General features: G+C 32.3%; 1 protein-coding gene across 8 annotated transcripts in view; it reads right to left on the bottom strand.

Moving 5' to 3' along the window:
* The window catches only part of SYT1 (synaptotagmin 1), a 588,027-nt gene that overhangs the window by 557,642 nt on the left and 16,504 nt on the right, over positions 1–13,881 (bottom strand). The window lies entirely within an intron of this gene.

Genomic DNA, 13,881 nt, shown 5'->3' with positions numbered 1-13,881 from the left:
CAAAAAAAAAAAAAAAAAAAAAAAAAAAAAAAAAAACAGATTAAAAAACACAATCATAAATTAAGACCGAGTAAAATTAAAACTGAAAATGGATACAATCGAAGTACTATAAACATACTGTAACAACTGCCTAGAGAGGAGGTATTTAGGGTAGTCCTTGACTGCTAGGAAGGATTTCAGTGAGCAGGACTGATGGGGAGAGATATTGAAGCAGAGAAAAAGAATGTAGGAGTGGTTCCAGGTGTTAAGTTTCTTGACACTTGTACAATTATCAGAATCTTTTTGGAAAAAAAAAGAAAAATTATAAAAGCAATATGAATACAAAGTTAGGTAGAAAGAACACAGTGCTCTCACCAATATTGGTTAAAACAGCTTATTTTTGCAGATTTTCCAAAAATAAAACATATCCATTGCTAGCCTCCTCATTCCAAGCCCCTGGAAGCATCTTTGCGCATGAGAGACTGAAAGTTGAGGTCTTCAGGAGAAATGCAGAGGGCAACTTTATTATTATTATTATTTTTTATAATTGCCTTGGTTATGGCAGAATCATCCGTATAAAATAAACATTAAACTCACTTCTAATTTATTAACACTGCACCATGGTTTTTATTTTTTGCTTATCTATAAAACATGAGATAAATTCTAGCCTTAAACCTATCTTTTTAGTTAAAGTCTTAGTTTCTCTTCAGAGAAGTTTGTTTTCATAACATATTGTCATCTACTGGCCTAGTGTAAGCAGAAATTATAGGATAACAAATTTTATTCAAATAGAAGACTTGACATCTTTGCCTCAACTTTTCCAGGATATTCTCTTATAGTTCAGACTTCATGAGTATCTAAGTTTGTGAGCATTTTATTTTTTTAGTATTCAGTGATTATTGGCACTAAGACTTTCCTCCTCTTTAATACAGATGTAGAAGAATGTTGCTAGGTGAGTTGGCTTTGAAAGTTATGCTTAACATTGATTCAAATTTTGGAGACAGAATTGAATTTTTGACAAGTTTAATTCAAAAATATGTATTTTAGTACTAAGAATTAATAATGATCCATCTAGATTATAACTTTACAGTCAGTGCTAATCCATATATTTTGATAAATCAGCAGTGGAAATTTTAAAAAAATTAAAGCAAGAATCATTATTAGCAAATTGAAAAATGTAGCCTGTCATTTACTGTTAGTCATGGTTGCTCTTAATATTGAAATTGCCCACAAATTCCCAGGAATTGGTTTTCATTTGTAGACTCCTCCTCAGTAAGTACATGCATACTGATTGTAATGATGGCAGCCATTGCATTTATCTGCACAATCCTAGTGGAGATTGGTAAATATTTTTGATGGCAAAGGCCAGCAGTAGATCAACTTATTTGGGCAATTTAGTTAGGAGTGAGTCCAAACCATTATGAGAATATTATAATGCTACTTATACATCCTAATTTTTCAATTCAAGAATATGACTTATGTTTCTCTTAAGTTCTCTGTGAAAGTGAGTTTACTCAAATTAGGATTCATATCTAGTTATTTCAACAATATTGTGTAATTCTGAAAAAAATAATTCTCCTCTTTACCGTTATTTGTCATTAAACTTTTTCCCTTGAGATTATTTTGGGTGATTAATGTATTGCTAAATTAAATATCCATATATATTTGTGTCCCATTATTTCCAAATTAATCTTGACTTCCTTTTGACTTCCTTTTAAATTTTGACTTCCTTTTGAATTCTAAATCAGACCTCCAGTAAAATAAAATGAATGTTATTTTCTATGGAAGATTGAAGTCTTCTATTTATTTGCCAAAATTTAAAATTTGATCGGGGCGGCTCCTATTTTAAAATGTGTGTTTAGAGAGGTGGGGAAAGGGAAACAACTGATTGTTTAGGTCTATACTGGTCATTTTTCCTATTGCTAAAATATTTTCTCTATTTTATATTACTGAAGAATGGTTTATAACTTTTTTGATTTTTATAATAGCAGTGACTGATCCCCTGGGTGTATGTGACTAAGCTAATTTCTGAGTAGTATTATGTGCAGAACCTAAAATGTACTATAATTTGAATGATAAGATTATTATTTTAAAAATTAGTGGTAGGTAGTAGGTAGGTTGTTTTCATGTTAAAAACGTGATAAGATGATGTTTTCCATATTAGTGAATCCAAGAGGTTAATGAGTGAAGCCACCTGGTTTTTATCAAAGTATGTTAAGTATTATCCCATTTAAACCACTTAGCATAGTTCAAGGACTTGCCAGATCTATAGTTCAGGCAGACCATACATGATATGGAAGGAAAACCAGACATAACTTGACCCTCAATTCATAAGAATTAAGACAAAAATATTTATATCAGGAGAAAGAGAATGAAAAATTGTTAATATATAAAATTATAGTGATTAACTTATTCACAGTTTTCTTAGGTCTTCTATTGATTGCACATAGAATTTATTTGAACAATTCTCAGCACTTGAGCTTATCAGTGCTAGCACTGTGGATCTAAGAAGACACTAATGAGATGACATGCATCTCAGTTTCAGTTTGGTTTATTTTGCCACCCATTACTTAGCTTTTAAAGAGAAGCTGTAGAGGGAAGACTACTTCACAGATCTCACTACAGCCATGATTTGTGTCCTTCCTCCTGAGCACAGTTCAAATTGCCACAGGTTTCTCAAGACATCCCTGACAAAGTTTCCTTTTATCCTACATGTTCTGAGGTGTCTTAAGTTTTACACCTTAAAAAGCTGCCAAAAATACCTTCTTCCATATGTAAATAAATGTTAGTTAACCATCATTTCACCGTGGAGACTTTAAAATTCAGTAACACCTAGAAATTCTGTTAACTATCTTGACAAATTTGTTCCAGATATTTTCCTTTAATCAAACAGATATTAGAAACAATTTCATTTTTAACTCTCTTGTACAAAATGCAGCCTTGGAAGACAGCTATGGTAACATGGAAACCTGGGTATGGAGTAAAAATGTTGAGTTTAATGCTCAGTTTAGCAATTTACTAGTTTCCTATTCCTAACCAAATCGATGACTTTCTCTAAATGTACTGTTTTCTTATCTGCAAAATGTGGATGATAATATATAATAGTGTTGCTATGATTAGTAAATGAGAAAAAGCATGTAAAAGTGCTTTGTACACCATAAATTATATGTTGGCGGCTAGCAACTATGTGTCATTCCCCTCCTAAAATCTTGCCAGTGTCTTAATAACTACATATCAAGAGCTCATTTTGTGCCTAATGATCTGATAGATGAAAACAAAACAAAATAAAACAAACAATAAACCAATAATAAAATAGACTTATATCTGACCCAAGAATATTATAGTTTGGGTGAGAAGATAGGTAATACACATATACATGAGGAATCAGTAGAATTAATTCTAAATAAAATAGTGAGCTATGTACCTAAAATCTGGAGAGGTGCATGTTAGGAGCATAGTTCTATGGCATAATTATTGCATAGTTGTAATTCAGAAACTTTCTAGCAGATGGTTACTCTTCAGCCAAGCCTTGAATTTAGAGCAATATTTAAAATGGTGAAAGGAAAAGATAGACTCCGGATTGTAGATTGGAGGTAACAGAAATGCAGTTATAGCGAGGAGTGAAAATAAGAAAGACAGTGTAAGGAGATGAAGAAAGTAATTTTCTGGGGAAAATGAGTCCATTTTGGGAAAGATGAGGGAGTTGGAGAATGAAAGACTGGTTACAATGGACAGAAACTGTGAAGCTTGGAAGAAAAAGGAGCGAGGAGGAAGATGATAAAAGTAGAAGGGAGGAGAGCATCCTGAACAGTCTAGTTTAAGATACATTATTATTATTATTATTATTTTATTATACTTCAAGTTCTAGGGTACATGTGCACAACGTGCAGGTTTGTTACATATGTATACAAGTGCCTTGTTGGTGTGCTGCACCCATTAACTCGTCATTTACATTAGGTATATCTACTAATGCTATCCTTCCCCGCTCCCGTCACCCCACGACAGGCCCCAGTGTGTGATGTTCCCCACCCTGTTGTTTCTTGATCTAAAATACTATTGTGGGTATGTTGGATCTAAGGTTCTTTCCCTCCCACTATGGAAATTCATCTCTAATATGATGATGTGAGTCAGAGACAACACTATCAATTTATAAAAGTTAACTTTGCAAATTTTTATAACTTTTTTGGATAGAAAAAGTGAAATGCTTTCAAGGCAAGTCACCTTATTGTACAGATTGTAAGAAATAAAAGCACTGCTTGAAAAGAAAAAAATATTATTTTTGAGGTGACAGTGGAATATTCAAATGGATATGTCTGCTCTCTTTAGCCATAAAATTTGAACTTTTTTCTTTTAATCAAATAAAACAGAGGCCCAGATGCAAACTGTACTGAATGTACTTAATAAAACTCAAATATACATAAGTTTGGGGCAGTCTGTGTCAGTGTAAACTGCTATAATGTGATTTGTTATTGGAAAACTGTGTTTAGCCCCTTTGGGAAATGGACCAGTGTCTTTATTAATTATATATCATGATGATCATTGTGACTGAGGCATTTTACAAAACATCCTTGAAGAATATTTAAGGTTTTCAAAATCCAAAAGTGTTTAAATCTAAGGGTAATTAGCTAAAATATCAACTACAATGTATCATTGTATTAGTCAACATTTTAAACCATGAGAATTATTAATATCTCACATGTTCAATAACCTTTCTTTCTTTATAAATCAATATTATTCAAGACATGGGCTCTTCGTTATGTTCCCATGCACTCTAATCAATACTAATTCCAAGGCTTTGCTCACACTCTTTCCCACACAGGATAGAAGTCCCATAAAACTTTCATAAATAACATTTCTAAATCCAGACAAAGTCTCAGTTATTCCTCTCCAAAATGATTATTAAGTGATTTTTCTCTTTTTACCTATTGTAGAGCATTTCACCTTTATTTTTATACTGTCATTTATGGTGTCAGCTTCATTTATATTACAAGTTCCTCAACCAAGGAAATGTGTTTTTTGTATTTCTGCCAGTGTAGTGAGTGAATCTTAACTTTTTTGGAGTCTCAACCCTTTGGTAACGTGATTGGAGCTATAAGCTCATTCCCCAGAAAAATGCATATGCAAATGTATACACCACATTTTGTATAAAATTTCAGAGAAAATTCTCTGAAACCCTTGAAGAAACATGGATGCCAGGATAAGAAATCCTGAACTAGTTCTTAACAAACATTCCCAGACAAAGCAGGAATTCTATACATGTTTGTCAATGCATTAACTATAAGGTTCTCAAATAAGTCTTGATTTTTTCTTAAAAAAAAAATTAACCAGGAGCTCTGAAGGAACTGAGATAAAAATTGATAGTAGTCTAAAAAGGGGAAAGAATACGGGTTTCGGAGCAAAGAAAAGCTTTGGCCTTAGGTATTAATCTAATTACAATTGCCTTTTTCTGGTAAAGATTTGTCACCAATTCACATTTCTTATAGAGAAGCAGGTAGTAAATCTGTAAATGCAGGAAGCCTCAGAATACCAGACGCCTTAAAGAACCTTGCGCTCCAAAGTAAAAATAGAAGTGACAGTGAGCAGGAGGAAGGAGGAGGATTTGCTTGAATGCAAATCGCACCCTTGGTTTCCTGATGAACCATGACTCAGAAGCTACCAAAGATATTAACCAATCAGCAGGTAGTGGTATGCTGAACTATAAAAAGTAAAGAGGAGTTCAGAAGGTGACTAGAAGAAGTGATCTTTGAAGCACTCCTAAAAGTGAACAACTCCAACAAGATTAGAAAAGATGATAATAACTATCATAGAAATATTTATTGGACATTTCTAAGTGTCCAGCACGGTGCTAAACATCTTTTTAATTCTAAATATGTTGCTATGCATTTGACTATAATAAGGAACATTTAGGTGATGATTAATTTTAAATGATTGCATAAAATGTCTTACAACTTTCAAAATCATCCTTCAGCAGAGTGGTATCATTGGGGATGTTGATGTCAATCTATTTTTATTTAAAATGAAATTAAATATAAAATATTGAAATGGGTCCATCCATTTACCAGGGTAATTGTACACAAGGATTTCCAGGAGAGGAAATGAAGATGAGGTCTAAGAATTGAAATATGAGCAATCCATTTACACTAACTTTATACAATTATATGTGTAATCTTCTACAAACAAAGCCAATACCTACAATACCTCATCCTCCAAAATCATAGATTTTGAAAAAAACTATCAATTTCTTAAGAAAGGATTTAAAAATATTATAATATCTGTGATTCTACAAAATTATATTCCTTATTACTATTACCAATGACACATCTTAATTTTCTCATGTAATGAGTTCCACTACTAATTATAACTTGAAAATCTCTTACTTTAAATTGTCTATCATAGTTTTTTGGGCACAAAATTTGAGCAGTCCTCTTTAGAAATAAAATTCAGTTAGTTGGTTTTAATTATTTAAATCTTAACAGTGTAAACCTGTCTTCAATAAGTTAACAATATTATACTTGAGAAATACAATCAGGTTTTTAAAACAAGTATGAATAATCAATTTCTTCTAAAGAAAGGGCTAGATATTGAAATTATATTTTAGTATGTCATCACCTACTTCAATCAATAAATATTTACTGAATAGTAACTTTATGATATATAATTTTGGATATAAAGATGATTGAGATATCCTCTTTACTTATGAGGAGCTCTTGTCCTAATAGGGAAGATAATATACAAAAGCAATTACGTTACAGAAATCCTCCCTTATCCGTAGGGGATATGTTCCAGCTCCCCTACTGTATTCCTGAAACTATGCCTAGTACCAATAATTATGTGTACCATGCATGGATTTCTCTTTCCTTCTTCACAGTTTCATGAATAGATTTATTCTTACTATCGCTGTTAATGATCTCAGCATATGATTCTTTCTTCTTTCCTTACTAAGTCAAGAACTTTCACCTTGTCACTTAGAAGAAGCACTTTATGGCTTCTCTTTGGCATATCCGAATTGCCAGCATCCACACTCATGTGCATTTGGGCCATTATTAAGTAAAATAAGGGTTACTTGAACACAATCACTGTAATACCGATAGTCAGTGTGACAACTGCCAGGACTACTAAGTGACTAACGGGTGGATAACACAGCATCGAGATACTGGACAAAGAGATGACTCATGTCCTGGGCAGGATGGAGTAGGATGGCGTGAGATTTCATCATGCTACTCAAAACAACATGCATTTTAAAACATACAAATAGTTTATTTCTGGAATTTTTCCATTTAATATTTTCAGACCATGGTTGGCCATGGGTAACTGAAACCACAGAAAGTGAAATCGTGGGTAAGGAGGACTACTGTAAAAGGTAGAAAGTGCAAGTATCATGGGATACCATTATTTCCTTAATCTCAAAGAAAAATATTCCTTCTAAAACTTCATACATAAACTGGCACTCTATCCTACACTGACTGGTGGGGCTTCCAGTTTAATCTCATGCCTAAATATAGATCATGAAAATGTGTTGAATGACTTAACCCCATATAGCTTGTATCAGCTTATTTCCCATGGCTTTTATTTAAATATCCATTGTCTTTATTTGAGCAATAAATAACGCACTATCATACACTTTTCTCCAAAAGCATTTTGTGGGTCTTTCTTGGCTGTTTACTTTATATTCTCCCTGAAAACAACCCAAACCTTTCAAAACATTATTCAAATGTGGCTGAATGCTCATCTCAGAGCAGGCAATAGGTAAATACTTGCTGACTGTGTATTAAAAACATCAGGAGTATGTACTGATTAAAATATAGATCATCACAGGCATATGGTTACAAACATCTTTTAATTCTAAATTTGTTGCTATGTATTTGTCTATAATAAGCAACATTTAGGTGATGATTAATTTCAAAGAATTGCATGTATTATCTTACAACTGTCAAAATCAGCCTTCAGCACAGTAGGTATCCCTGTGAATGTTGGTATCAATCTGTTTTTGTTTAAAATGAAATTAAATGTAAATATTGAAAAGCAAAACCATTTTGTCTCAAAATAACTTACTTGAAAAGCAATACCAATCCAGGAATTTTGAGGAGGATAGCTTTTAGAACCAATTGCACTCACTCTATATTCATGAACCCTTAATGCTTCTCATTCTCTGACGTTTGTGAATGCATTAGTCTTTCAATCATAGAAAAAAATAAAAAGATATTTTTCTGCTATTTTCCTAGATGCCTTGAAGTTAGCCCAACTTTTATTTACTTGCCCCAGGATAATAAATTAGCTGGCAAAGTGGCTGAGGAAGTACATATAACATGTTAAAAAAATTAGTGTTATGATAAGCCCTACCAAGTATGAGGGAAGTTAAACTCCATTTCTTATAAAAAATGGATAGGAATGTATTTCTGAGCTTTCCACTGCTATCTTAATGTACTTAGAGGTCACAAAATCTAGGAAATACATAAAATAGATATGTATTTTGCTTCCATCATAGGCCAACAAAGTCCAAATTCCCTTCTTGTTTCCACCCTTGGCCCTATTCAGTCTATTCTAGCAAGAATATTTTATTCTCAATGATCCTTAAAAATATCAAAGTTGGATGTGTTACTCATATGCTCAAAATCCTTTACTGGTTTCACCTCTCATTCCAAATAAAAACCATAGTCACCCCAGGGCCTTACACCATCTGGCCCTGTGTTCCCTCTCAGAAAAAAAGCTTTCAGTGCTCCCTCAGCCTGCAGCACCTGGCCCACGTGGACGCCTTGCTTTCTTTGAAATCACCAGGCATGGCCTGATCTTTAACCCTAGCTTAATTCCTCACCTCTTCCAGATCTGTGGTGAAATGTGATTTTCAGTGACAATCTTATTTAAAAATGTATTCTGTCTTCATATTCCCAACTTGGCACTCTCTACTCTCTTTCCTTGTTTTTTATTTTTATTTTTTTGATAGCAATCATGAAAATAAAGCTTATTAATAGCACCTGTCCTCCTTCTCTCTCCCTTCCTTCCCTTCCTCCCTCCCTCCCTTCCTTCCTTCCTTCGTTCCTTCCTTCCTTTCTTCCTTCCCTCCTTCCTTCTTCCCTCCCTCTCTCCTTTCTTCTCTCCTTCCTTCCCTCCTTCCTTCCCTTCCCTCCTTCCCCCTTTCTTCTCACTCTTCCCTTCCTGCCTTCCTTCCTTTCTCCACTTATTTTTCTGCCCCCACTGAAAGGTAAGTTATTTGAGGGTAAATAACTTATTAATACTGAAACATTTTGAACTAATGCTCAGAGATTTTTGAATTAATGAAGTAATAAATCATCTAGATACTAGTGGATTGAAATCCAAATCCCCGAACATTTAACAGCTATGACCTAAAAGCAAATAGTATCATTTCTCTGTGCCTCAATTTTCTTATTTCCAAAATAAGCATTATAATAGTTCACAGAGGTTTTGAAGTAAGTATTAAATAAGCAATATACAAAAACAGTTAAAATAGCACCTGGTATGTAATGAAAACTCTATACATATAAACTATTATTATTAAATTTGCCAAATTTTATAAACACTTTTAAAACTTCATATTTCTTCAGACAGATTCCATATTTTTTCTTTTTGTTTTAAAAAGATTTTACATGTAGCTAACATGTGCAAGCTCATTCTTAACAAGTTTACATTTTGAAAAGCTTTAATATTCTTAAACTCAACAATTGCAGCCCCAAACCAAAGATATATTAAATATAATTATAAAATTTTATTTATAATGTCTGAATGTATATAGAAATGCAAACATTAAAATATTCTAAGATTATGATAAAGAGAATCAATTATTAATGAAAATATTAAACAAACAAGATGTTATAAAATATGTTAACACAAGGATACTTTGCAGTATGAAAGAAGTGGAACATTTACAAAAATCTTTAGACATGATCAATCTATAAAATCCTTTAGTACACCTTATGTTCATTGTTACTGTCATCACAAATTTTACTAGAAAAAAACTAAATTATCAAACTGAATTAGCTTAGAGTAAAAAATCACTTCAAATTAACATGTTTCACACAATTACTTAATGCTGCATTAACCAAAAGCAGTAGATATAGCTATTCCTAATATATAAAATATATAACTATACATTTAAAAATCACTGTAGATTGTATAAAGTAATATCTAATCCAACATAAATAAAATAATCTAACTGAAAATGTATAGACCGTTGTGTATATCATGGAATGTTGATTTTAAATGTGATGTTTGCAAATGCAATATTTCTGTTAGGGGCTTTAAATATTTCTGTTAGAGAATATAAGAGATTGGTAACAGTGGCTGACTGAAAGAAAACAGTGTCTGAAAAAAGACTAATTTTTCCATTTATATATTATTAGATTGAGTATTTTAAATAATTTTATGGAATAATTTTTTATTTAGAAAATTATTTTTATTTAAAAAACAAGCTAAAATATTTCCTTTAAAATATTTCTCTTTACTAGAAATGAATCATAATTTTCTTAAAAATATCACTTTCATGTGTATAGTATTAAGTATACATTGAATATATTTACAGAAGGAATAACTTTTTCAGTGACAGAACCCCTTCGCACTTTGGATGCCATAGAGATTTATAATATAACTGAAGAAGTGGTTAAAAATAGAGAAAGAAGAAAAGGTGGAGAGAAAGTGAAAGGGAAAAGAGAAAGTCAAGAATGATTATCTGTTTCAGAGATAGGTAACATTGGCTCAAATAATCCAAAACATTAGTTGGTCCCATTAAAGAGAAATTGGAATATATTATTATACATCATCTCTTCACTCTTAATTGTCCATGACAAAATGAGCATTTAAATTACCATATTTTATTTGAAACTTAACAGTGAGCTACCTGGTGATTTAATCTAGGGAAACAAAGACTGAGAAAAGAAAGAAAGTCATATTTCACCTTGGAAGAGAAGACTTGACTACATCTAATATCAGTTCATGAAGGCTTATTACCAAAACCACACATTAAAGTATTACACTTATTCAAAAGAAATATATAAGTGAGTGAGAAACGAATGAAAAAATCAAGAAGGATGATACTTCAGTGATATCCACCAAAGATTTTTAAGTACTACTTAGTATGTGCCATGTATTGCTAGGTCGGTACTGGGGAAAAAATTGCAAACAATATAGAAATGGTTCCTGCAATCATAGAGGACTTAACTCAATCTTATTTTTTGCATTGTGTCAATAAACATCAATTGTTCACTGTTATAACATTATAATTTAGTGTATTACTGTTCGAAGAAATTACAGAAATACACACATAGAATCTCAGAGATTTTTTGACATAGTTATTCTCAACTGGGTAATCAAGTAATAAGATATTTTTTTAAAAAATCATATGACCTTGTATTTCAGTAACAATCTCTACTTTATCTTTAGCTAGAAGATTTATTTTTCACTGCACTTTTTTAGGTAGTTTCTGAAAATGAGTTTTCACACCCAGAGGATGTAAGATCACAGACTGTTCCCATTACAAAGAAAAGAAGCAAACAAGAAAAAAAAATCTATGATGCCATGATTCAGAGAAAAGAGATTATCAAAACAATTGGATAAAAACTCAAGGTTAAAATTTTAGCAATATATATTTAAAGCACTTCTCTACATTCACTTCAGATTTCTGTCAACTAAATTTAGTCTCATCAGTACCCTCACCTATGAGATATGAATTTATAAATATATTTCTTCTTTAAAATCGTTTAAGTTTTCAATATTTTCAAACTTAATGTCTACTTAGGGTTTACCGAAATATTTTCATTTTGTTGCAATTATTTGTTCAAATCTCTCTACCACGCAGAGTTTGCCAATTCTTGGCAGTTCTGGAGGAATTTTGGAAAGCAAATTATTCATACTACTATAATATGAAAAAACTGAATATTTACTCTCAGATATAAATAATAAAAATTTATTTTTAAAGAGTCAGCCATATTACATTGCTGAATTTACAATTTTAGTGTCTAATGATAGTAGATACACTCATAGAGTGATTAAATTTGTATTCAGATTGGATCCAATCACTGTGGAAAGCTCAGCTTTCTATTTTAACCAAGCCTGCTCATCCTCCCTCAAATATACCAGACTACAATATTATTTTCTGTTTCCTCCCCAATACAGAAAACTTCATACTTCTTTAAAGATTAGGGGATAAAGAAAGCATCTATTTAAAGTTCAGTCAATCGCCTATGCATCTTATCATCTCCCCATTCATTCAGCAAACGTTTTTTGAACATCTACTATGTGTCAGGTGTTGAGTGTAACTGGCATTGTGGCTGCTTCCATAGAGCATACATGGCCCCCGACCTCTTATGGTTTATGTTCTTAGTGGCTTCTCCTGGCATTTAATGAATAGTATAATAAATAAATATATAATTGCAAATTGTGCAAATGTTATAAAAAAAATACAGGGTGCTATGGGAAATATAATGGGAGACAAAATTGTCATTGAGAGATCAGAAGTATCCTCTCTGATTTAAGCAGATGCCTGAGGGATGAGTCAAGTTTAGCAAGCCAAAAAAATCATCTTAACATTTCTCTTGTCAAAGATGAGCCCTAGAATCAGCTTCTCAAAGAGAGCTGGTACTCTTCTTCTTTTATCTCCTCTTTTTTTTTCTATCTTTTCCCTTCCTCTGTCCTCTCCTCATCTCCTCTCCTCTTTTCTTCTTTTGAAAGGAAAATTACCAAGCGAAGGTTACTTGGTTTCCCTAGACTGCATGAAGCTTACTCTCCCCAAAGCATAAATGGCTAGTGATATAATCAAGTTTAGCTTTACAAACACAGTTAGAAAATGCCTGATTTCTGTGCATATTTTAGAAGTTTTCCCCCATCAAGGCTAAATATACTCATTCTCTTTTTATTCAACAAGGTTCGATAATGTCTGTTATGTGCCAGACATTCCTCCAGTAAATGGGAATACAAAGAATAAGACACAATCTTTAAACCCAGCGAGTTCAAAACCAAAAGGGGGTGGCTCTATGAACAATAATCCTAAAACAACATGACAAATGTAATGCTGGAAATATGCTGAGAGTATTACATAAGCTTTGAACTACAGAGATGGGTTGGGAAAAATTTCTTTGAGAAACAGACCTAAAAAATAAATTAGAAGTGAAGGGAGCGATATAAAATTGATGTAGTTAAGGGTAGCAGTTGTTCATGGAGAGGGACAGGAGGGAAGTATTTGGGGGTGACAAGTACTGTGACGAGCCAAGCAAAGTCAATTATAATGGGTATATAGGAATGAGAGGCATTTCCTTTTGTTTTCTAATTTTGAGGAAGCTGCATGTGTATGTCAATCAGAAGAATAATCTGATCACATTTGTGTTCAGTGACTTAGGTGACTGTGAGGAAGATGAGTTGGAAGAAAGCAGGACTGTAAGGTAGAAAAGCCAGTTGGAAAAAGGTTTGTTTTTTTTCTTACAATAATTAGTGTGAGATTAGAGAAACAAATTAGCAATAGTTAGGAGGAAAATTCAGTAGGATGAAGGTGATTGGATGATGACAGAAAATAGCTAAGCTGAAAATTATTTTTATAATAAATATAACCCTTTCACTAGAAAGTTTAAGTTTCCAAGTATGGTATAATAGACAAATTAGTCATTTTGGCCTTCTTATTGTAAATTATAACTTAGTCTACAAAAAAAAAGAAAATTTCCTACATGCACTTTAAAGGTATAAGCTTGTCATCTCTATGCAAATTGTTAAGACTGGTAAATTAATATTTTTTTCATTGGATGAGATGCATAGAGCTGTTCTAATTAATGGAGAGACAATTCACAGTTCATTTATTCATTGACTCAACAAATATTTATGGAACAACAAATATGTGTTGTTTTAGGCATTCGGAGATCAGGAAGTAAAAAATATAAAAATCTCTGTTATCATGGAATTTACAGT

Source organism: Homo sapiens, chromosome 12, assembly GCF_000001405.40.
Source record: "Homo sapiens chromosome 12, GRCh38.p14 Primary Assembly".
Taxonomy (NCBI): domain Eukaryota; kingdom Metazoa; phylum Chordata; class Mammalia; order Primates; family Hominidae; genus Homo; species Homo sapiens.
The sequence above is the reverse complement of the archived record's forward strand: the minus strand, read 5'-3'. Positions and strand labels throughout refer to the sequence as shown.